The following is a 23,981-nucleotide window of genomic DNA, read 5'->3' as shown; positions in this document are numbered from 1 at the left end:
GACCTTGGAGGGAGCCAAGTTAAGTGTGGAAGATGGACAAAAGATTAAAGAGTGAGAAAGATGAGAAAATCAAGCCACATGTTCAGAATTATTGTGCTGTATCTTTTCTGATAACCTGCTGGAAAAAATATATATTCAATTGAATGAAGGGAACACAAGTAAAGAACTAAGATGTTAGTTTGCTGGGTATATTTGAAAGGGAGTGGGCATTGAAGATAGAAGGGGAGAAGCCAACGGAGAAGAAGAGACTGAAGATGTGGAATGAGAGGGTGTGCAAGTGAACGAGGCCAGCTTCCCAGGCAGGGAGTTGATGGGTGACTTCTCTCTGAGGCTGGGAGGAGAGTGAGAGTCCTGAGGGGAACTTGGGGCTTTGGCTTCTGTTTCTTGCAATCATCCCATTTTCTTGTGGGGATCCACCCTGCCTGATCTCAGCTCTTGGTGTCTGGATGGGGCATCCCCCCAGCTCCAGGATGGAGCACCTGGCTCTACCTTCAGCAAGTGATACCTTTCTCTCCTTGGTCAGAGTGGCTGGTGCAGGGGTGGGAACCCATGCTAAGACAGTCAATCAAAGGAAAGCTACCGAACCATGCATCTGCTATTGCATGCCTGCCAGGCTCCAGGCTGGGTCTGGGTTCTGGGCATGCAGCCGTGAGGGCAGAGCCTCCTCAGAGAGCTTGCATTCTGCCATATATTCCACTCAACAAGTTAATCTGGGGCAGGGACAGATGTTGGGACAAAACCCCTCTTGGTAAGGGTTAGATTGCTTTGGTGTGAGGGTGGAGTGGGCATATTTGGGAAGGTATGCAGGAAGGAAGACCTCTCTGGGAGATGGGATAAGACCAGAGATGGGAGCAAAGTGAGGGAGGAGCCCCCAGAGGCCAGGGGAGGGCATGCTGGGCAGAGAGAGAGGAAGTGGAAGGCCCTGAAGTGGAACCGGGCATTAGAAGAAAACCAAGAAGACCTTCACATTGGGAATGCAGTACGCAGTGGGTGGCGTGGCAGAGGAATCCTGGGTTACTCACAAACACAATGGGCAAAGCCTGCTTGCTGTGGAATGACCAGAACCTGGAAGGATGTCCCGGGAGCCCCTGACAGCCTCGGGTCCCCACTAGGCGCAGCTGGAGTGAGGCAGAGCAGAGATACACCAAGTGCCAGAGAAACAGCCCATGACATCCTGTGTGCACAGTAAGACAGGTTCGTGGGAGATCCAGTAGTGAGTGAATGGCAGATGACAATGCCACCGTCACGACAGTACGGGCCCCATGGCTTGGTTCTGGGACCTCCCCAGCACTGTGCTGCAGCGGGGACAGAAGCAGGAGAAGTCCAGGCGTGGTGTGCAGCTGGCAGGGCTCGAGCAGAGAGAGAAGAAGCCACTAAGGCCTGCACCTAGGAGGCTGCCGTGGGGTCTCCTTCTGTGCCCACCACCCGCCAACCACACCCCGGGCCTCACCTCGATGATCTCCAGCATCTCCACTCGGGTGATCTTGCCATCACCATCCAGGTCATACATATTGAAGGCCCAGTTCAGCTTCTGCTCAAAGCTGCCCCTGGAGGTGATGGACAGAGCGCAGATGAACTCTCGGAAGTCAATGGTGCCGTCCCCATTCTTGTCGAAGGTTCGGAAGGCATGCTGGGCAAACTTGGAGGCGTCTCCATAAGGAAAGAACTGCAAAGGAGAACACGCGCAGTCAGGTGTCGGGAGGGGATGGAATCGGGGCGACGAGGTAGGTTCCTAATGACGGCATCACAGGTGCTCCTGGGCGTTGTCGGAGCCTCACCCATTGGAGAGCAGTTTGGCCTGACTGTCAAGGGCAAGGGCAGGCATTAGGGGAGGCTTTCTCACAGCAGGTGCTCAGGTACAGGCATCTCATTGTTTCCTGTGGGTGAGGCTGGTGACATGTGGCTTTCAGTTGATGGGGCTTGGAATCGGTCAACAAGCACCACCTGATGCTAGTGTTGCAGCATCTCAGCTCACTCCCCCCAGGAACAGGACTGAGGCAGACAGCAGTTTCTCTCCCCACACAGGTGGTGCTACACGAACTTCAATGTTCCTCTAGATATGAGAATCTGGCTTCATCGCTGCCCAGTAGGGCCAGAGGGAGGGTGCCCAGACCTGGTTTCTCCTGCCACCAGCCCTCGTCCTGGGCCCACACTTATCCCCTCCCTGGGTGAGGTTCCAGTTTCTAACTTCTTTTTGCAGGGACTTTTCTTTTGCAGAACAGACATTTAAAACTCATTAAAAATAGAACATGACTGGGCTTATTTTTGAGAGACATAAAGAGGTTTCTTCACAGAGCCAACTGTCACCAGGGGTGTGTGGGAGGCAGAGAATGGACACAAGGAGGAAAGGGAAGCATAGACCACAAGGAGGGAAGGCCATGGGGAATCAGTAGGTGGTGGCCTCAGTCCCCTTGGACATAAGCCTAGGCCAGTCACAAACAGCAGGTAGTTCTGATAATTAACAAGGAAGAACTGCAAAGCCCCAAATACAACCAAAAACAAACCATGTGCTATTTTAAAGCAGAGAAGTTACGTATGTATTTCTGGATGAATAAATCTGGGTTCTGGGCTCTATAGGCAAGCACTACAAGGTCTATAGAAGATTACTGAGGTTGCTCATTGATATCCCTTTTCCTTCGTAAGTTTTGCACCTGCTAAGTGGACCAGGTGAGCAGCCTTCATACAGATGGCCTCTTTGCCCACTCTGGGCTATCTACCTCGAGGAGCCCTCGGTCCGTCTTTCTCACTGTGCATCCTGACCTGGGTCCTGCAGAGCTCTGCTGCCCACTCCTCCTGCACCTAGAAGCACATTGGAAGGTAGAAAATTTCCCTCCAGACATAAGATATGCTTTAACACAGAAGGATTCTATACATGGGGCCCAGGGAACAGCCAAGCATTCCAGGAGAAGGAAAGTACCCATTACTTATATTTTGGTAGTACCCATTGCTAGGCACAATGATCTGTTCCAGAGACTATTCCTATATAACAAATCACCCCAAAAGCTAGTGGCTTAAAATGACAACAATCATTTTATTATCTCACGAAATAAACATTTGAGACCCATTTCTTTTTTTCATCAAACATATCTTTTCCTGGTTACAAAGGACAATGTTCTCTTATGTTCCCTCATTCCCTAAACATATCTTTCACTTCTCTTATCCTTCATTTTTCATTATTCGTCAGAATTCACTGCGTTCTTATTCATGTCGGGCCTCGTCTTGGGTGCTATGGACTCAGAGAGCAATACCTCGAGGTCTCTGTGTTCCGAGACTGCACAGTTAATGGGGGGACTTTACTCAAAATTGACTTGGTCATGTTACTTGATAAGAACTAGAACAGAGGAGAGGGCAAAGTATTACTAAAGCTCAGTAAATGAGCTGTTAGTTTCAAGGAGGGAGTTGTAGAGGGAAGGACTTTCCTTCTTCTTTGAACAGCTCAGCATGACCCCAGCCCCTCACCCCCCAATGCTACTTAGGTGCTTGGTACCTGAGGACAGGCTGCCAGGCGCTGAGTTTTGAACTAAACAATGTTGAATCTGAAAACTTCTAAATAGGCAAGTTTGCTCCTCCTGTGCCTTATGCATGAGTGGTCCTGGTCCCTTTCTAGAGGGTACTTTGGCTGATGTGTTCATCTGCCTTGTGATTAGGGGCCTGGGTGGGGCTGGCACCTGTGAACTGACTTGGAGTGGAGCAGAGCGAGCCCCTGGACAGGTTCCCAAGTCCCCTTAGTGCTGTTTACCCGCCAGCATTTCTATGTGCAGTTGGCATGAGACCAGTGGGCACGAAACCTCCATTCGTGTAGGTTTCTGGCACTGTAATGCTTTAACTATCTTATGTCTCACAGCCTACTTTTAGGTTAAGGGATAGTTGACAGTTTTATCTAAAAATAACTGGGCACCTTGGGTCAGTATATTAAAAATTAATTTAGGTCTAAAAAACCTTGAGAGAAAAATCAATTGTAAATTTTGAGCTATAAAAGTTACATGTGTCTTGCAGAAGGTCTATATACTGACTTTTACAACCAACATGTTTACTTTAGAACTGAGTGTGTGCTCAAGAGCCTTCAAATTTCTGGAGGGGTTGTTTCCTTTAGGAAATTTATCCTATCATGTTCTGAGTGCTTTGAGTTTTTCTAACTAGGGACATGCTCCTTATTTTGACAAAATAATTCAACTCTAGATGGATCATCACAGAGAAATGAAGCTGCATTCCCTTCAATTTCTTAGGAAGAATTCAGGGTCTTGAACTCAGATTTACTTCTCCTGGAGGACAACAGGGCCTGAAAAGCACAGTATTTTTCTTTTTTTGCGTACTCTTGTTCAATTTCTTTTTAACTCAATGTATTTTGTTTCAATTCTTGTATTAAATTTTGACATGGAAGTAATATTCGATGGCAGTAATAATCTATAAATAATATGACAGATACAAAGAACTTTGAGGTTGAAAAATTAAAAATGTATATACACACTCATATGTATATGTATATGTGTGTGTGTATGTGTATTAGTGTTCTCTCACTTAATTTTCATAACAAAATCTGACATTGTACTTTCCATTTTGTGGATGAGGAAGTGGAAGCCTAGAAAGGTCAAAGGCATTTGCCTAAGATTCCTGGCTGTCTGCAGCAGAGGCTGGATTTGAATGCAAATCTGTCTGACCGTTTCTGCCACACCTTGAGATTTATCTTAATCAAGTGTTAGCCGAGGAAATAAACTTAACTCCACATTTGATGAAGCAACCAAATGTGTTGCATTATGTAATTCTTAGCATCCATTGCCTCTGAAGCTTGAAATTCTCTGCTCTGAGTATTTTCGCCACCTTCTGGCAGCACATATGTACTGCAAGGAAATTACTGAGATTCTAACTGAGTTATTTTCTGACTCATTCTTTAACTCAACATTGAGAGCAGCTGCTATGTGTCAAGGACAGTGTTAGGTGCTGGCAATAAAATAGAAGAAAGACATAGAGCATTAAGGAGTGGGGGAAAATAGGCATTAATCAAACCACCATATAAAGAAGTATAAAATTTTACTGTGATAAATTACAAGTGTATGGAGCTGCAAACAAAAGTAATGGACATGATATTGTCAGTTTGAAGCTTTAAAATATTCGCATGTGGTCCTTTCCCCCCATCCTAATATACAGGCTGCTGACAATTCATTGTTCTTCATCATAGCCTAGAGTTTCAGAGTCTGAGACTTCTTGGGATTACACAGACCTTGACTGCTCCCGGTTGTACTCCATACCCTGTCCCTGAACCGAACAACCTGCAGAAGAAAACCCCAGGAAACACTTGAGGTCTTTTCTTTCCCCAGGCAGACAACAGGAGTCTTTGCATGGTTTAACCAGCTTCCTCCTGGCCAGGGCAGGAGCTTTTTCTACAGACAGTGGGCCCCACTCTGCATTTCTTTCTTTTCAGTAATCTATCTAGTTGTGAATATCAAAATGTTTGTTTCCTCTAAGAGGTGGTGCATGAGAACCAGACACATTAGCCTCTGGGCCTCCAGGGCCCCACCCAGCGTGGGCACAGAAAGGCTGAGTGATGATCTACAAACACTGTGCCTCTCTCCAGTGACACATTTCCTCTGCACCCCTATCCCAGCCCTCCCCAGCACCATTGCTGCCTGGATAGCTTATCCTTCCAGAGAAAATATTGCAGCATTTCCCACATGAATCTCTCCCCTCCAAAGATCCCTGGTTCACTGCCTCAATGTGATGGAGGAGGCAGCTCCCCAAGAAGTTCTCCAGCCCAACCTTTGGGTGGGGGTGGGGTGGGCACAAGCAAGGCCTTGGCCAGGACTCACCCCTGCCCATGCAACAGCTGATGTGCTGTGTCAGGAGGGGTGGCAGCAAGGCTACTTCGGAGGATGCCTCTCTCCAGGGCTCTGCCCAAGGCCCAGCTCCTGGCTAACACTGGGCAGCCCTCAGACCTCAGAATAGATTTCTGCCCATTAGTCTGCTGGAAATAGAGCTCTTGATAGGAAATAGGGCTTCAAAAAACCAGAAGAGTATTCTTGGACTGCTCCGCTGCTCACAGTCTTGGAGAGGTCTGCCATCCAATCCCGCAGAAGACATAGTTGCTTTTAAAACACCCTCACTTGGGTCAGTTTTGTTTCTTTTGTTCTCAAATTTCAAAGGCCTATTTTGCCTGGCCTATGAATATACAAATACAATCACCCTGAAATACAGTTGCTCAACCTCCAAGGTTATCTCCCCTTACCCTGCTGGAATTAGCTAGTGGCTTCTAGCCTGTTCTGGATGACCTGGTCTTGTACCTACCTCTTCAGGCCCTGCTACTGAGACAGTAGTTATTGTTTCATGAGTGTGTCTCGTGGAACAAGGCTCTAAGCAGGTCCTTCTCACAGGCCACCCCAGCTGATTCTTTCAGCAAGGGTAGGACTTGCAGGAGGGTCATTTTTCTGGGGTAAGTAACTGGCATGAGGTCACATCACTAAGGGGTGCAGGAGGATCAAACTCAGTGCCATCTGAGTCAAAGCCTTGGCTCTTCCCAGCACCAACTGCAGTCTCCTTCTCCTCCCACACCAGCCCTGCAGACAGACCCTCGGCCTGTCTCTTCCGGGGTCTTGACCTTCCTTGGCTACACTGTATCTCAGAGGCTCCCTAAGGGGCCCCTCGTGCACTGTCAGGCTGCTCTTTGCTTTAGGCCTACTGGGCTTGTCTACCTTCTGTGGGAACCACCAAGGACAGGAGCTGTTCAGATGAGCTCACCTCTAACTCCTTGTCCTGGGGGCTGAGGCCTTCACGTGGGGTGGTCGGGCCTTTCCAGCAGACCTCCTGCCGATGGGCAGAAGGTTAGTGTTGGGGTCTCATGTGCCCTTAGATGCTGACCATATGCCTTTGAGAGGTCATTTGATATTTGGTTTTGGCTTTCAGCTCTTCACATCCATGAGGCCTCCCCCAGGAATAGGACCCCATTGTAGTGGTACATTCATTGCTTCCTAACTTTCCCTACACTGAGGCCCTTCCATCCATCGTCACCACAGCTCCAGGGGAAATTTGCACACCCATGTTTGGTCAAGTTTCCTTCCCACACCCGACAATAGCATCTAATTGTTCTCAGAAGAAGGAACGAGACTGTTTCCAGGCCTCAGAGACCTTTCTGTGTCTGGTCCCCACCTCTGTGTCCAGCTTCTGGTCCCCCGGCTCCCTTGTCCCGGGGCCGCTTTCACTCCCTGGGGCCTTGCTGGCTCTCCCTCCCCTGCCACAGTCATGGGACCATTGCCGTGCTGCTGCTGTGGTCTGAAAGTTCCTTTGCTGACCTTGGCCCAGTGAACCCCTGTTCCTTCTTTAAACCTTGATTTGGTCTGGGTCAGACCCCTGTTACACACATGCATGTCACTGTAGGGAACATTTGTTACAATTGTGAAGAAATGTTCACAGGATTGTGGATTCGTGCCCTTTTTCCCTAGTAGACTGTAAGCTAAACGGGGCCGAGAATGACCTGGTTTTGCCATTGCTGTAATCTCTGGTGCCTGGTACAGGGCCAGGCACACAGTAGGTGCTCAGTAAATGTCTGCTAAATGAACAAGTGACTCAGCAAACAGATCGTTTCGAGGCCTTGAGAGACAGGGCAAATCTACCCACTGACCAGTAGAAGGGTTGAAATGTGCTCTGGAAGCTGCCTGAAGCCGGCTGTGCTGCAGAAGGCTCACCACTTGGCCTGCAAGCCCATTCGCATTACTACTTAAGCAGATGACTCATGAGGAGATGAATCAGCCCAGAGCAGCACTTGCACTTTAGTCACATGGATGGGAAGACGAGAGACATTTTCCCTTAATTAGAAATGGTGAGTCCAAAAACTGTTTTCTGCCAAAGTTTTCATTCAACAGATACTCACAGAAGCCCAACTGGTGCTGGGCTCCATGCTGAGCTTTGTGAGGGCAGGAGGGAGAGTGAGGAGAGGCAACCACGCATAAGAAGATAGAAGGTCTGGTCTCTGCCCTCAAGCAGATGTGATAAGCCAAAGGTAGGTGCAGCCTGACACATGAGCTCCTTCCACATGTAGGCTCTCCAGAAGGAGGTTAAGGACACCCTCGCCCACCCCCACCCTCAAAGGGTTCTCACAGATCCTAAGGTTGCTTCTCAGAGCTGCCCCATCCCTTGTCCTCTGGGTGACAACTTCCATTTTCTATCATCACTGCTTCTTCAACATTACAGTCTTTATTACAAAAGGTAGCCATTATTAGCCTGTGATTCTCGTATAATTACATCTATTTGAGAATAAAATTACTCTTGAACTAAATTTCTAGAGAAGGGGCTTTCGCCTCCCGGGACAAGATAAGCAATTTTCACTTATGTCTTAGGCCAGATCTCTCTGTTTACACAGACTGCCCCAGAAAGGTCATGAACTCCCAGAGAAGTTCTGCTTTTTTATAAAAAATGAGAATGAGGCAGTAGAAATCCAACCTCCTTACCTTCCAGATCTCCTTCACATTAGAATGCTCACCGGCTGGGCGCAGTGGCTCATGCCTGTAATCCCAGCACTTTGGGAGGCTGAGGCGGGCAGATCACAAGGTCAAGAGATCGAGACCATCCTGGCTAACACGGTGAAACCCTGTCTCTACTAAATATACAAAAAATTAGCTGGGCATGGTGGCGGGTACCTGTAGTCCCAGCTACTCTGGAGGCTGAGGCAGGAGGATGGTGTGAAGCTGGGAGGCGGAGCTTGCAGTGAGCCAAGATAGCGCCACTGCACTCCAGCCTGGGCAACAGAGCTAGACTCTGTCTCAAAAAAAAAAAAAAAAAGGAATGCTCACCATGGGAAAAGCCAGAATCATCTCTATGTTAAGGATGAAATTATATTTTGTTCTTCATTGTATCCTTACTGCTCTCGAATAAGGCTCTGGTATGCTGTAGGTGCTTTATAAGTGCTACTATATTCGGATGGGTAAAGGAAGCAATTTACTGCAGAGGAAAAGATGCTGGTTGAGTGACAGAGTATCTGGGTGTGACTAAGGTCACGTCATCTTGTCTCTTGGGACTTTCGTTTCCCTGGATATAAAATGACGGATAAATCAGATAAGCTTCAACATTTCATTTAGCTATAATATTTTATTTAGTTTTTCTGATTCTGGAAGTAAAATTTTTAAAAAAGAAGGGATGTTACTTTCATGACTTTGGATTTGTCATTGACCAAAGCACCTACCATTCCCTTTGTATCTAATGTCCTAATTACAGGATCAAACTTCGAAGGGTGAATCTCTCTCTTCTCTTTCTCCCTTTCTCATATTTCTATCTCTATCCCTATGTCTATGCATAAGTCTATGTCTATACAACTACATCTAGATCATATCTGTTTCTCTATTTCCATCTCTGTACCTATAAGTAAGTTTAAGTATCTATCTCTGGTCTCTCTATCCCTATTTCTATCTCCATTGGAAATGTCACAGACCCTGAAGGGTACTTACTGATTACTCAGACTTTAAAATCAAATGAAGTCTCTTTTTATTTCTGTCTAATACACCATTTGCACTATAAATCGGGTCAATGGCATTTTGATTTTGGGTAGGGGATTATTCTAGTACTTCTCTTCCTGGTAAATATTGAACCACCAACCTATTACTCTTTGTTATGAAACTAGGATGTCAATAACAAATTACACTTTGGAAATTGTGGTGAGTTTCCATTTAGAGCCAGTCTGCTAGACTGGAAAGATTGTTTTTATTAATTTTAAATGGCACTGAATTTGAAACTAGGCAAGTGGTGAGGATCTTTGAAGGTGCTTGGTAGTAGCTTGGTTGCTGTGGGGAAAGCTAGAATGAGACCACTCCCTTCGTACTGTCTTCACTCGCTCCAACTGAAGTGGGTAGAACAGCAGATTTCACAACTGGTTCTAAAACTTATTTGATCTCCCTACCTCCTCCAGAATAAAGTGGTCTATCCAAGATCGATTCTCATTTCACCCTGCACCCAACTCATTTCACAGCGTCATGGTGACAATGATGAGAACACTGAGCCTGGCTGCATCTCAATTAGAACCCTACTGGAATGCCATTGGCCACCAGGTCTGGAATCGTGGGGAGAGAGCTATTATAGCACAGCTGGTGACAGCAATGGCAGCCAGAGCCAGGCATGTTCTATCTGCAGAAGTTGAACACATTTGATACAAAATTACAGCTAGATAGGAGGAATAAGTTCTAGTGTTCTATGGCACTGGAGGGTGAGTATTGTTAACCATAATTTATTGTATATTTCAAATAGCTAAAAGAGAGGATTTTGAATGTTCCCAACACAGGGATAAATGAGGAAATGAATATGCTAATTACCCTGATTTGATCATTACACATTATTTACAGGTATCAAAATATCATCTGTATCCCACAAATACGTACAATTGTTATGTGTCAATAAAAATAAAAGAAAAAAAAAGAAGTGGAACACATTTGTCAGAAATGAACAAGTTCAGGATCATTGCCTAAGAAGGTGGGGCTTCTGTTTTCTGGAGGAGAGGAAGCTTCCTACCAACTCTAACATGTTCTCCTAAATGTATTCCTGTCCTGCGTTACTGCAATATCTTTAACTTCTCCCCAAATTATATGAGCCCCACATGATCCCATCTCTGCCACCACAGTTATAGGATAAGATCTGGTTGCAGACTAAGAAACAAACAAAGGAAATGCATCATGTAGAGAAGTAAGGATGCTATGCTGTGGTGGAGAGTGTGAGCTTTGGGGTTGGATGGGTCTGGGATTGAATATCAGTTCTGCAGTTCACTACATGTGGGACCTGGTCTCGGGCAAAGGATTTTTAATCTTTTCAAAGCTTTAGTTTCTTTTCTTTTCTTTCTTTTTTTTTTTTTTTTTGAAACAGAGTCTCGCTCTGTTGCCCAGGCCAGAGTGCAATGGCACGATCTTGGCTCACTGTAACTTCCTCTGCCTCCCAGGTTCAAGCGATTCTCCTCCCTCAGCCTCCTGAGTAGCTGGGATTACAGGCATGTGCCACTGCGCCCAGCTAATTTTTGTATTTTTAGTAGAGACCGGGTTTCACCGTGTTTACCAGGCTGGTCTCAAACTCCTGACCTCAAGTGATCTTCCCGCCTTGGCCTCCCAAAAGTGCTGGGATTACAGGTGCAAGCCAACACACCCAGCCTTAGTTTCTTCATACAAAAAATGGGACAGGATAGAGGAGAATTGGCTGCTGGGCTGGGACCTTTGGGATTTAATGGGGAGGACATTGGAACAGAGTCAGAATGCCCGGTATTGGGTTCCAGTTCTTCCACTATTGAACAGTAGTGTGCCTAGGGGCATTGGGCTTCCCTTCTTTGGATGACCCTGGTAGCAAAGCTGTGAGGATTAGGATGATGTGTGTAAAGCACACACATGATGTGCACACAGTGTTGGGCTCATAATAGGTATTCAGCCGATGAAAGATGCTATTATTATTGTTGTTATTATTTTAGTTTCAGCAAGGCTGTGTTCTGTGTATGAGCCAATAATACGAAAACTAAGGAACATTTAAAGAGTACATATATTCTTTAAAGGAAATGACCAGAAGAGGAAATGATCTTCTTTCATTCTTTTATAGAAAACAATATATTGAGTGATCAGTCAATCATCATCCACTATGTGCACCATATGTGGCAGATACTAGGCAAGGTGCTCAGAGAGATGCAGAAAGGCAGACACTGAGGCCAGGATCTGCATGTGGTTAGGGAGGCAGAGAGAGGCACACCCAATGTTAATGAGCAGTGCAAACCCAGCCAAGGCGGCTGAGACAACCAGTGAGAGGAAGGTGGATTTCACCTTGCAGGATGTGTAGGATGCATCCTGGTATACCTGTATCTTCCTTTTATTACCGTCAAACCCAAACAGAACCTTGGTCATCTGGAGTCCAAATTTGCTCAAAACCAATATTTCCATCGAAGCAATGCATTTTGCAACATGAGATGTTATGAGGAGTTAAAGGCCTCCCTCTCCCCTGAAGGGCAACTGGGGCAATAGATCCCTTCACCCCACCAGCCCCTTAGCAAAAGAATAGAAAGACTAGATCCCTGCGGGAATCTGGGAGGGCTTATTTGGAATTGCCACAAGATGCAACAAGAGTCAGAACTCATGGGCACAAAGAGCAAGAACATAAAACCCACACAAAAGGATGGCCACACCAGGGCATCAGAGACCTCTCACTTCCTTATCCTCACTGCAGAGCATTTGAGGGATAACGGGGAGCTGGCAAAATACTCCCCTGGGAAGGGGCCCTCCTATGCTGCTCTCTCCTCCCAAACCCCAACTCCTTGATTATTCCTTTCCCTAAGGAGTAACTGCAGCTAATGTGACCTGATTCTTGCCTCAGCGGTCAAGAAGGACCAACTTAGAGACTAGATCTCAGGGCAGAGGGGAAATCTCTGGAGAGTTTGCTAGTAGGTTCCTCCCATCCTACTGAGAATGAAGAGCAGGCGCTCACACCTGTGTGGGCAGCTTGGACTCCAGCGCCAGGTCTGGAACTCGCTCTACTTTCTAATCGTGTCCTGTAGGGCGTGGGAAGGAGGAGCAGGCTCAGTGTGCATGAGTCCAGGTTCCAATCATGCCACTTACTGGCTGTGAGATGCTGGGAGAGGGATTCAACCATCTGGGCCTGTTTCCTCTTGTGTGCAACGAGGGAGTTGGCTCCCTCTGAGCCCTAGGAGTTCTACCAACTCCTGTGGTTCTAAATCTGCAAAGTCTTCAACATTACACTTGAAAAAAGACACTGGTTTAATTAAACTTTGTAACACTTACTATGTGTCAGGCACTATGTAAGCACATTACCCATATTGAATTGTGTAATCCGCCAACAATCCTATGAAGTAGGTTCCACTGCTGTCCCTATTACATGGATGAGTACACAGAGGCATATGGATATTATGTAACCTGCCCAGGGTCACATACTTAGTTAGTGGCAGAATTTGAACTCAGGCAATTTGGCCTTGGGGCTGTATAGACTCTACATACCTCTCATCTACCTAATACAGGAACACAGACCCCCAAGAGGGCAACATCTCAATTCTACTACTAGTATCACATCTGCATGCATTCTAGTGAGACAGAGGCAGCAAAGAAACTGAGCACGTGGGGCCAGCACCTCTTCCAAAACCCCCATAGTCCAAGTTGCTTAGAGAGTCTTGACTTGACCGCTCAGCATTATCCAGGGCCGTGGGGGAGTTATGTGAGACCACGTCCGGGAAAGTGCTGCGTCAACCTCAAGGACTCAGCAAAGGTCATTCTGTCTGTGGTTGGAATATTTACCAGGAGCCCAGTGCTGTGCAAGGCACTGCAGTGGGCACAGTATAAACCAGACACAGTGCCCTGCTCTCACTGGTGTGGGCCAGAGCAGATCTCCTGGGGATCTCATGAAAATGCAAATTCTGCTTCAGCAGGTTTGGGTTGAGGCTGGGGTTTGCATAGCGCACACTCTCTGATGCAGAAGCTGCTAATGGGTCCTCAGAAAGCAAGAGTGTAGCCTCCAGGCACTTGGGATTTGAAGGAGGAAGCCCAGGCAGGTTGGAGAAGTCAGGGGAGGCATCCTGGGGTGGGGTTGGGGGCTGGATGGTAGCTGGAGATGGGCCAGCACCTGTGCAGTTTTGTGGTGTTGTGGGGGCAGCGTACAGGAGGTGCTGTGGGAAACAGAAACAAAGCCCAGCCTGGGCAGATGTCCAGGGGTCAGCCAAGCCTGCCTAAGGGGGAGCAAGGGCCCAGCTGGGGCTGAGGAGACTCTGCCGGCTGCAGCCCTGGAGCTGCCTCCTCCACCCCTCCTGGTGTATGTATTAGATGTCATAGCAGCCCTTAGTCTTGATGGGGAAGCTCTTCTCGCACATTTCCATATTTATCTCTCTGAGTCTGCAGGGAAAGCACAGAGCAGCCTTCAGACAGGCTCTCCGGGCTCCCCTGGGCCAGGTTCATGAATAAAGATGCCTCCACTGGGAGAGTTCTCCCAGCCTTCCCTGTGGGAAGGGGAAGGGAGGGGAAGAGCTGGGCAAGAGGGGCCGGAAGGAACCGGACAGCCAGCTCTAGAGGGTGGAGGCAGCAAGGACTAGATCCGGGTGGGCGACAGCCTATGGATGGCACCTGGAACACTGGAATCATTTCTCCTCTCAATGCCTCAGTTTCTCTGCCTGTAAATCAGGAGATTGAACAAAACAGCTTAAGGGTACTTGTTCCAGGTCTGGCTTTCTGTGATTCTGTCATAAAGAGAGGCCAATGTTTTGTGACTGCTAAAGCACTCTCCAAACACAAAGCCTACTGTGAGTACCTTTGAGAGCAGCCCTGTCCAATAAAAAGATATCATGAGCCACAAATGCCAATCACATAAGGAATTGGAATTTTTCTAATAGCCATATTACAAAGGTAAAAAAAAAAAATAGTTTTTAATAATAGATTCCATTGAACCCATTATATTCAAAACACATCGAAATTACATCATTCATTCAACATGTAATCACTATTAAAGTTATCAGTGAGATATTTGACTTTTTGGACTAAGTCTTTGAAGCAGGTACATGTGTCATTACTCACAGCACATCTCAATTCCTGCTAGCCATATTCTAAGTGCTCAAAACCACATGCAGCCCGTGGCTACCATACTGAACCCTGCAGCTCTCAGCAGTGCAGACAGTGTGAAAGGGCGTGTATGAGCTGTTGCCATAAAAGATCTTCGGGAATATGTGCATGTCATGGTGTGAGCATCCACTGGTCAAGGAAGCAGGGGTTTGTGTGTTATCCTGGAAAACCATAAGCCTCTGAGCACAGGCTGCAGCCTTTTCCTGCCCTTGGACTCCCCAGTCTTCTAGGCCAGTGAGTGTGGCCAGAGAGATGAGGCCTTCTGCTTGCTTGGAGCTTGGTGGAATCCATGTTTTCACTCCAAATCTAGGTGTCTATTGCCTTTGTACCTTGATGACATCTTTCATTTTCCCAAGACCCTGGCTTACTATTTCCCCATCTCAGGTACCATATGCCAGGGAGTGCTATGGTAATTATACTGGCTTCATATCATAATTCTAAAATGTTACTCTGGGGAAGAGCTCTTTCCACCAAATCCTGACACCCGCCCCCACCCCATGCCAGATAAATTAGTAATTTTTCCCCTTTCTCTGAAAAGCAATAGTGGAGGCAGTTTGGCTTGAGGAATGAGTGAGGGCTACAGAGCCACAGTGACCATGTCAAACTCTGGCCCATTGCTGAAGCATGGCCTTGAGTAGGGCACTTTGCTTGTAAGCCTCAGTTTCCATGGGTGTGAAAAGATAAATCCCATGAGTAAATGGCATTTTGTACAGTGTCAGGCACATGGGAGACACTTTTAAAAAGGTAGCTTACTTTGCTTCCTTCTGTCCTCAGCATTGTGGATGTCTGTTTTGGAGATGACATTACAAAAAGTCCTTTTACCTGTTTTAATGTAATTCTCACAACAGTCCTCTGAGGTGGGGCTCATAGATGAGAAAACTGTGGCACAGACCTTCAAAATAACTTTCTCAAGATCACAAAGTCAACGGCAGGAGCTAAATTGTGAACCTAGAAAATCCAACTGCAGAATCCTGGTGCTAATATTCTTTGCCTCGACGCTACATGAGAGGTAGAACTCCTAGGAGAAGGAGCTTTTGAGCTTAAACTCCAAAAGCAAGAACCACAAGCCAGGATGGAAGATTTTAGGGTGGCCACGATGATGACCTGAACCCAGATCTTGCTAAGGCAAGTCCCCTCAGCAGAGATTTAGGAATTCTTACATTTTGCCTTCCACCTGTCATCAGCCATCCCTGCAGATTCCCCACCGCCCACAGCTTGCTGTCAGGATTCTATTTTCTGGAGCACCATTCCCAGCAGGCCTCTGAGATTCCTGGCACAGGACCAGAGCCCTGAGTGTTCCATCTCCGAGCATTCGTCTAGGAGACACACACCCCTGTCCTTCAGCCCAGTCCCTCTGGCGGACCCTTCTCCTCCTCCTTTTTGGCACCTGTGTTTGCAGCAACCAGGGAGATATTTAATTCCCACTTCTGCCCAACAGCTTGTTGCTAAGCAGCTGGTGCACCCTGAGATGTGTGGAAGGAAAACCTCATGGTGACAAAAACAAACCCTCATGTGCCCTGAGCCAAGTGTGTATGTATGTATGTGCACATGTATGTGTGTGTACGTGTGTATGTGTGTTCAAACGAGCTAGGGGTCGAGCTGCCAGTTAGAGCCTGACCGTGAGTCAGAACCAAGCAGGAGCAGTAACTCCCTGCAGCGGGACCCATGGGACAAGGAGGCTCTGGCTGGGGTTTGAGGGGTTCCAGGAGAAAGTGGAAGCAGCACCAGAGCACGAAGTGGGTGGGATGGAACTGTGTGACTATGGGAATGAGCTAACCATTTTCTCTTCTTTGGCAGTTGTGATCTCAGCAAAACAAAAAACGAACATACAAAAATACCTGTTTTCCTCCTCACCCTACTACGACCTGAGAGGCTCATTCTTACTTTGCTGATCTCAGAGGAGAGATGAGGGTGTCAGGGGACGGGAAGGGGCACAGCTAAGCTTTGCCTCAGCCTCATTTGTACAACAAACACATCGCAGGGCATTGTCTGCACCTTGGGAAATGTCACACATTGCCTTTTTATTTCTTGCTTCTTCCCTGGACACGTGTTGAGAAGACCGCTAAATGCAAAGGCTGAGATGGAAAGGGACAGAAGTTCCTATTGCCTTCTCTCCTGGTCAACTGCATAACAAACTTTGCCTCAAGTCTTGCCAGGACCTCTTACATAATTTGCAGGGCTCAGTGCAAAAGGAAAATGTAGGGCTTCCTCTTTAAAAATTATTAAGAATCAAGATGGCAGCAGCAGAGCAGTAAGCCAAGTGTGGGGTCCTTCTGAGCACAGGGCCCTGGGCACCTGCCAGCCCTGATTCTCGCCTGCACACTGCTGTTACAATGAGTGAGCGCATCTGCAAGTCTAGGCCTTAACCTCTCTACTGCACGCTCTTTGATGCCCTCCTCCACCTTCTCCCCCACACTCCAGGATGAAAGCCACTCTGCTTAGTCCAGTCCCACAAGGCCCTTTTCGACTTGGGTCCTGCAAACCTCTCCAGCTTCATTTCTCCACCACCCTCACCTCCTCAGACACTCCAAGCTGGTGCCGATCCATGGGAAATCTTTCCAGAGTGCTTTTGCATGCTTTGCCCATGCTTTTCTCTTGCCCCTTCACTTCTTGCTAGCTCCTGTTAGTCCTTTATCACTCAGCTCAAGGGGCACTTCTCTGAGCCCCTTGTCTTCTCAGCCTGCTCTTTCCTTTCCACCCCATATTCCAACTCTCTCCCCTGCCTAAGCTGAGTTAAGGGCTTCCCCTCTGAGCAATGACAATACCCTGTATCGATGCACAGGGTCACTTGGGCCTTGTCTTGTCACGAGCTGTTTTATGCCTGCCCCCAACTCTGCTCTGACATCCTCCAGGGAAGGGTCACTCCTGACTCATGTCTGTATTCTTAGTGCCTGGAACACAATGGATATTCAATAAGTATTTCCTGACTAACTCGATAGGTGAAGGTGGCCTCTGCTAGATCCATCACATTCGGCTCTTACTTTTAATTTTTTTTTTTTCTTTCTGAGACAGAGTCTCACTCTGTCACCCAGGCTGGAGTGCAGTGGTGTAATCTCGGCTCCCTGCAACCTCTGCCTCTCAGGTTCAAGCAATTCTTGTGCCTCAGCCTCCAGAGTAGCTAGGATTACAGGCACTCACCACCATGCCCAGCTTTTTTTTTTTTTTTTTTTTTTTTGTATTTTTAGTAAAGATGGGGTGATATGGTTTGGCTGTGTCTCCACCCAGATCTCATCTTGAATTGTAGCTCCCATAATTCCTATGTGTCCTGGGAGGGACCCAGTGGGAGGGTCATTCCCACACTGTTCTCATGATAGTGAATAAGCCTCACGAGATCTGATGGTTTTATAAAGGGGAGTTCCCCTGTACAAGCTCTCTCACCTGATGCCATGTAAGACATGACTTTGCTCCTCATTCGCCTTCAGCCACGATTGTGAGACCTCCTTAGCCATGTGGCACTGTGAGTCAATTAAACCTCTTTCATTTGTAAATTACCCAGCCTCAGGTATGTCTTTATTAACATCATGAGAACAGACTAAGAAACAGGGTTTCACCATATTGGTCAGAGTGGTCTTGAACTCCCAGCTTCAAGTGATCTGCCTGCCTTGGCTTCCCAAAGGGCTAGAATTATAGGCATGAGTCACTGCACCCGGTGCTTTTCTTACTTTTAATACCAAATCATCCAAGAAGTATTTTTAATGCTTATTTCTGCATTTCATAGTTCTTCTCCAAAGGGTGATTTATTCAATGTATAACTGAAGGAAATATGCTGTGTCTATTTTTTAAGGCACTTTAATGAAAATAGCAATGCTTTTTTCTTACTCTATAGATAGTACACATTTACGAAGAAAAAATTTAAAACACAAATAAAGGAATAATTAGCCGAAAACCTACCACTCAGAGTTATTATTAAGAGTGATCATTGTTTGGCCAGGCACAGTGGCTCATGCCTGTAATCCCAGCACTTTTGGAGGCCAAGGTGGGCAGATCACGAGGTCAGAAGTTCGAAACCAGCCTAACCAACATGGTGAAACTCCATCTCTACTAAAAATACAAAAATTAGCTGGGTGTGGTGATGCATGCCTGTAATCCCAGCTACTTGGGAGGCTGAGTCAGGAGAATCACTTGAACCCGGGAGGCAGAGGTTGCACTGAGCTGAGATTGCGCCACTGCACTCCAGCCTGGGCGACAGCAAGACTCCATCTCAAAGCAAACAAACAAACAAAATCAAAAACAAAAACAAAAAAAAACAATGACCATTGTTCTAGGAGTTCATTGATTCAATGTGTATTTATTGAACACTGACAAAGTTTCTCACACTGGGGATACAGCAGTGAATCATACAAAAAACCTTACCTGGCCAGGTGTGGTGGCTCACGCCTGTAATCCCTGTGGGTGGAACAGTTAAGGTGAGGAGTTCGAGACCAGCCTGGCCAACATGGTGAAAAACCGTCTCTACTAAAAATACAAAAATTAGCCAGGCATGGTGGCATGGGCCTGTAGTCCCAGCTACGTGGGAGGCTGAGGAAGGAGAATTACTTGAACCCGGGAGGCGGAGGCTGTAGAGAGCTGAGATCATGCCACTGCACTCCAGCCTCAGTGACAGAGCGAGACTACATCTCGGAAAACAACAACAACAACAACAACAAACCTTACCTTCATTCTAGTCATTAAGTATGTACCTGTGTATGGTTCTGCATTCTTCATGTTTACACATACACGCATGTATATTTATAACTCTAGATTTATTCATTTGGTGCTACGTCATGAAAACCTTTTAGGTCACTGGCTTTAAATATATGACCCCCTTTTTAGTGGCTGATTAATATTCCATTATATGAATGTTCTATAATTTATTTAATCAAATCTAGAGACTCTGACAATGGTTTAAAACGTCTTCACTGTTATTAATACCTTAAAGTGTTTTATTTATAAAATTGATCTGGTTATCTCCTAAACATGGACTATGGGTGAAGGAATACACAAATCTTACTTGTGACCCATATTGTCAAACCACCATCCAATAGTTAACCAGAGTGCTAATGTGTGATGCACCCTTTACATTGCCTCTGATACCAGAACAATGATACAATATTATCCAACCATTTTTGCATTTCTCTGATTTCTAGTGAGGTTCACTATCTTTTTTATATCCTTTGGAAAAATCATATACAAGTTGCTTTTTTTTTCCTGTGCAAAAGTTTAGATTTTTATATGATCAAGGCATCAGAATTTTCCTAAATGGTGTTTGGTTTTGGTGTCATTTTGAAAGTCCATCCCCACACCGAGATTCAGAATATTTCCCTATGTTTTCTTCTAATACTTTCCTCTCTCTCTCATTTACCTTTGAATATTCACATTTAATTTGTGAATATAATGGCTAGACAATTGTTATAAGATTTAATGAAAAGTCCATTTTTTCCTTTCTGATTTAAAATGCCATTTTGGGCTGCGCACAGTGGCTCACGCCTGTAATCCCAGCACTTTGGGAGGCCAAGTCGGGCAGATCACGAGGTCAAGAGTTCGAGATCAGCCTGGCCAACATGGTGAAACTCCGTTTCTACTAAGAATACAAAAATTAGCCAGGCGTGGTGTTGTGTGCCTATAATCCCAGCTACTCAGGAGGCTGAGGCAGGAGAATTGCTTGAACCCAGGAGGCGGAGGTTGCAGTGAGCCAAGATCGTGCCACTGCACTCCAGCCTGGGCAACAGAGCAAGGCTCTGTCTTGAAAAAAATAAATTAAAAAAAAATAAAATGCCGTTTTGCCCCATATATGCGGGTGTATGTTTGATATGTTTGAACTAGTTATTATTTCTTTATTTGGTTGTCAATTTATTCCTCTGTTAACGGCATAGTATCTTAATTATTGCAAGCTTATAAAATATTTTAATATGTGGAAGTTATCATCTTCTCTCTTCTTCTTTTATTATTGAAAATATACTCTTCCAGAGGAACTTTAAAATAATTAGATCAAGTGGCAAAACAATGAAACAAAGCAAACTGTGATGAGATTTTGATTGAGATAGCTTTGAGCTGCTACATTCATTAGGGAGAGCTGGCATCTTTGCAGCACTGAGTCTTCCTATTCAAGAACAAGGAACATCCACTTGCTTATTTATGTCTCTCAACTGATGAGGCTTCTGCAGTGTGAACTGCCACCTCCCTTTCTCACAGAGCTGCAAGCCCTGCAGCTTTGGAGTAAGGGCATTGAGCCTGAGGGAATGACTCAAGAGGGCACTCTGGGCTAAAATTCCAGTGACAGTGGCAGGAGGCAGCCAAATGCCTAGGCAGATGAGGTGGGTCCATGGTGAAACCCTACCTCCAAGGTACATACTTAATTACTAGAAGACAAGGCAAAGACAGTTGAAAGCCCGAAATCCAAGCTACAAGTAAAATACACGGACGAGATTGAGAATCTATTTTCTCGTTTGGCTTGCTTGCTTGTGATTAAGCCCCACCCTTCACCTATTTTACATTTACCTATCCTTTCCTAATTGTTTTTCTACACTATCGTGCCCACCTTTGGGTGTTGTCTTCACTTTAACCTGTTTTTGCATACTCACAAACCAATCTGCATGCACTCGCCATTCCGAGTCCATAAAAAGCCTGGGACCCAGCCACACTGAGAGAGAAATCACCTGACTGTGGGGGTGGGGGACCACCCCACCGTGTCCCCTCTCAGCTGAGAGCTGTTTCATTGCTCAATAAAATTCTTCTCTGCCCATCCTTACCCTTCTAATTGTCAGTGTAACCTTATTCTTCTTGGATGAGGGACAAGAGCTCAGGAATTGTTGAATGCGGGTACAATCTATAACACAGCAGGCCGAGTGGACGAGGTGCCTCCAGCAGGCCTGGGGCCAAGCAAGGCCCAGGCATGGCAGGGGGTATTGCTGGCCATGGAGTTCCCTGGTTGGCAAAGTGGCTGAGAAAAATTCTGCATCACCAGTGGCAGTTGGAAACCATTGCCAAGTAAGTCAAGTCCACTGAACTCAGAAGGGCTTACACAGAGAGGGGATTTAGAACAATCCTGCCCCAGGAACAAAACTGTCTTTCTCTGGAGAAATTGCTATAGCTTAGATCTCAGTAGGGGTGGCAGGAAAGACCTTTCATGAGTTAAGTGAAGGACTGCTGATATGGGGGCACCTCCTAGGATAGTTGCTTCATAGAAGCTTCTCATTGCATTTTCTCACCAACCCTGTGAAGTGGCTAGTGTTGCCCTACGTAACACGGAAGGGGCATATGGTTTGGTCACCTGCCTCAAGGTCTTGGAGCTAATGCTCTGGGATTGGATCTCAGATGTGTCTGCCTTTGAGCCCTTCAACTAAACAACCCTGAGCCTTAAGGGACCTTATAACAGCCCTGAAAACTCAGTCTGGGTGTGGGTGGAGACAGCTCCAGAGCCCCAGGCTGGGTGCCCAGAAGGGCCAGGTGGGACAGACACCCAAGGAAGATGCAGAGACAGGCGATTTAGCTGTGGCTGGGCTTCTGAAGCTTTGCCTTGGCTCTGAGCCCTGTGTTGAAGGCAGGCATTCTCTTTGTGCCACTAGAGTGAGGAGTTTTGAAGCACAGAGAGACCTAAGGCTTGGTAACTATGTGGGAGGCAGGAATCAAAGCAGGTGGGGCAGAGGAGAGAATGAGATCACCTCAGAGAAGAGCTGTGCTCTTCAGCAACTAAATGCAGAGAGCAGAGCCTCCTTGGAGCCCTGCCTCCCTGAAGATCCCAGCAGGGGCTACAGAACAGGCAGGTGGCTGAGCTCAGGCCAGGACCCAGCCTCCCTGTGGCCCTTTTAAACTCAAGGACTTACATGTACAGAGTAAGACCTCCCTTATATCTCAGATGTGGGCAGCCTGCCTAAGGTGCTGTGGGACTTTGAATTTCTCTAACACCATTTAGAGGGAGGTATTCTAACAACTTGGAAACCACATCTGAATGCTCAGATTACTGCAGTCCTCACAAATCTTTCTCCCTGGTACAAAATAACTCACCCACAACTCTGGACTTAAACCACAATCCAGTGGCCTAATAAGGCCTTAAAAAAACCACAATGTCACTCTTCTCTGTTTCCTGCCCCTCGGTACCTAGTGGAAACAGTGTAGACTCCTCAGCTGGGCATTCAAGGACCTTCAAAATTAGGTCCTGAGCTTTTATCATGCACTCCCTCCTCCCTACACTATATATCAGACAGAAAAAATTATTTGTTTTTATTCAAATTCTTCACACTCCTCTGCCTCCAATGCTAGGTCAATTTAACAACTGTTAGATATCCAATATGTGCCAGACCCAGGTGAATCCAGAAAGAGCCAAGATGGACTGCTGTCCTCAATAACTCACACTCTATTATGCCTTTGCTCCTGCTGGCTACAATCTCCAGCCTGGATTTGAGCTTCTTAACCTTTTATTTGTACTTCTATTAAGATACTTACACTATTGTGTTATTTTTTCTGGCCATGTGTCTGTGTCTACCTTGCTAGATGTGAAGCTGCCTTTGCAAAAATCGTAACTGAGAAAATTATAACAGTGAAAGATATCAGACCTAACTGACCCCATCTTGCTTCTAACCTCTATACTGTCCTTGTTCATTCCTGGGCATAGGCCGAACTAGCTTTGGAAAGGAATTTAGTGTATAGTTATATAATAGCCCTTCCCAAAAAGCTATTCTTGTAAAGCAAATGAAAGGTCACCAGCCACCAAATCAAGATGAGAGGGGCTGGAATTTGAAATATTACCAATCATTATTTTGGAGGTCATAAAATTTGCAACTTCCTCAATCACTCTTGAAGGTAACATCACTATTGTGAACCTAAGATCTGCTTTTTGAGATGTCTTTTCAGATTTTTGCATTTCTAACAACAGATGGCCCCACCTGGACCTGCCAACCAGTTCTGTGGCCCCAACACAGGAACTGACTCAGCACAAGACAACGGCTTCAACTCCCTGTGACTTCATCCCTGAGCTAACCAATCAACATTCCCGATTCACTGGACCCCTACCCACCAAATTATCCTTAAAAACTCTGATCCCCAGGTTTTCAGAGAGACTGATTTGAGTAATAATAAAACTCATCTCCTGCATAGACACCTCTGTGTGTATTACACTTTTGCTATTGCAATTCCCGTGTCTTGATAAATCGCCTCTGTCTAGGCAGTGGGCAAGGTGAACCCCTTGGGCGGTTACAGATTGGGCAAACTACCAAGGTGAAAAGGTCATCTTTTATCTATCTTTGTGTACCTGAAAACACAGAGGGGGCACAAGATAGGTGCTTCATTGAAAGGATGAATAAATGAGTAAGCCCTAGAAGCAATGACAGATTGCTATGCATGCAAATGAACTAGGATTGTTTGAGGGTTGCTTATCTTACCTCCTCCAGGGCCCTGAGGCAGCCACGGGCTGTGATGTGGTGAGATGGGGGTATGTGGTGTCTCCTTGGCGTG

The 23,981-nt window shown here is 46.3% G+C and overlaps 1 protein-coding gene and 1 long non-coding RNA gene across 6 annotated transcripts in view, besides 1 other annotated feature; one reads left to right on the top strand and one right to left on the bottom strand.

Moving 5' to 3' along the window:
* Window positions 1-23,981, bottom strand: part of VSNL1 (visinin like 1) — a 117,047-nt gene that overhangs the window by 5,943 nt on the left and 87,123 nt on the right. For 3 of the 5 annotated variants that reach the window (NM_001366803.2, NM_003385.5, NM_001366806.2), the window contains exon 3: window positions 1,451-1,666. The exons of 1 other annotated variant lie outside the window; for it this stretch is intronic. In NM_001366803.2, the coding sequence (NP_001353732.1) occupies window positions 1,451-1,666 (216 nt within the window). Of the gene's footprint in view, window positions 1-1,065; window positions 1,296-1,450; window positions 1,667-23,981 lie in introns of all 5 variants that reach the window. One more of the 5 variants, NM_001366804.2, reaches the window with a different exon arrangement.
* LOC124908054 (uncharacterized) lies at window positions 1,606-23,627 on the top strand. The gene is made up of 2 exons (XR_007088658.1): window positions 1,606-7,987; window positions 23,404-23,627. It is a non-coding gene; the product is annotated as an uncharacterized LOC124908054 (long non-coding RNA).
* Window positions 6,092-6,879: an enhancer, noted in NCBI's record as "H3K27ac-H3K4me1 hESC enhancer chr2:17825464-17826251 (GRCh37/hg19 assembly coordinates)". NCBI's record gives its function as "activates a minimal SCP1, AML or CMV promoter by ChIP-STARR-seq in naive H9 embryonic stem cells {active_cell/tissue: H9 hESC(naive)}" and the evidence as "EXISTENCE:reporter gene assay evidence [ECO:0000049][PMID:30033119]".

This window comes from Homo sapiens, chromosome 2 (assembly GCF_000001405.40).
Source record: "Homo sapiens chromosome 2, GRCh38.p14 Primary Assembly".
In the NCBI taxonomy this organism is placed as follows: Eukaryota; Metazoa; Chordata; class Mammalia; order Primates; family Hominidae; genus Homo; species Homo sapiens.
This window is presented reverse-complemented; position numbering and strand designations above follow the sequence as displayed.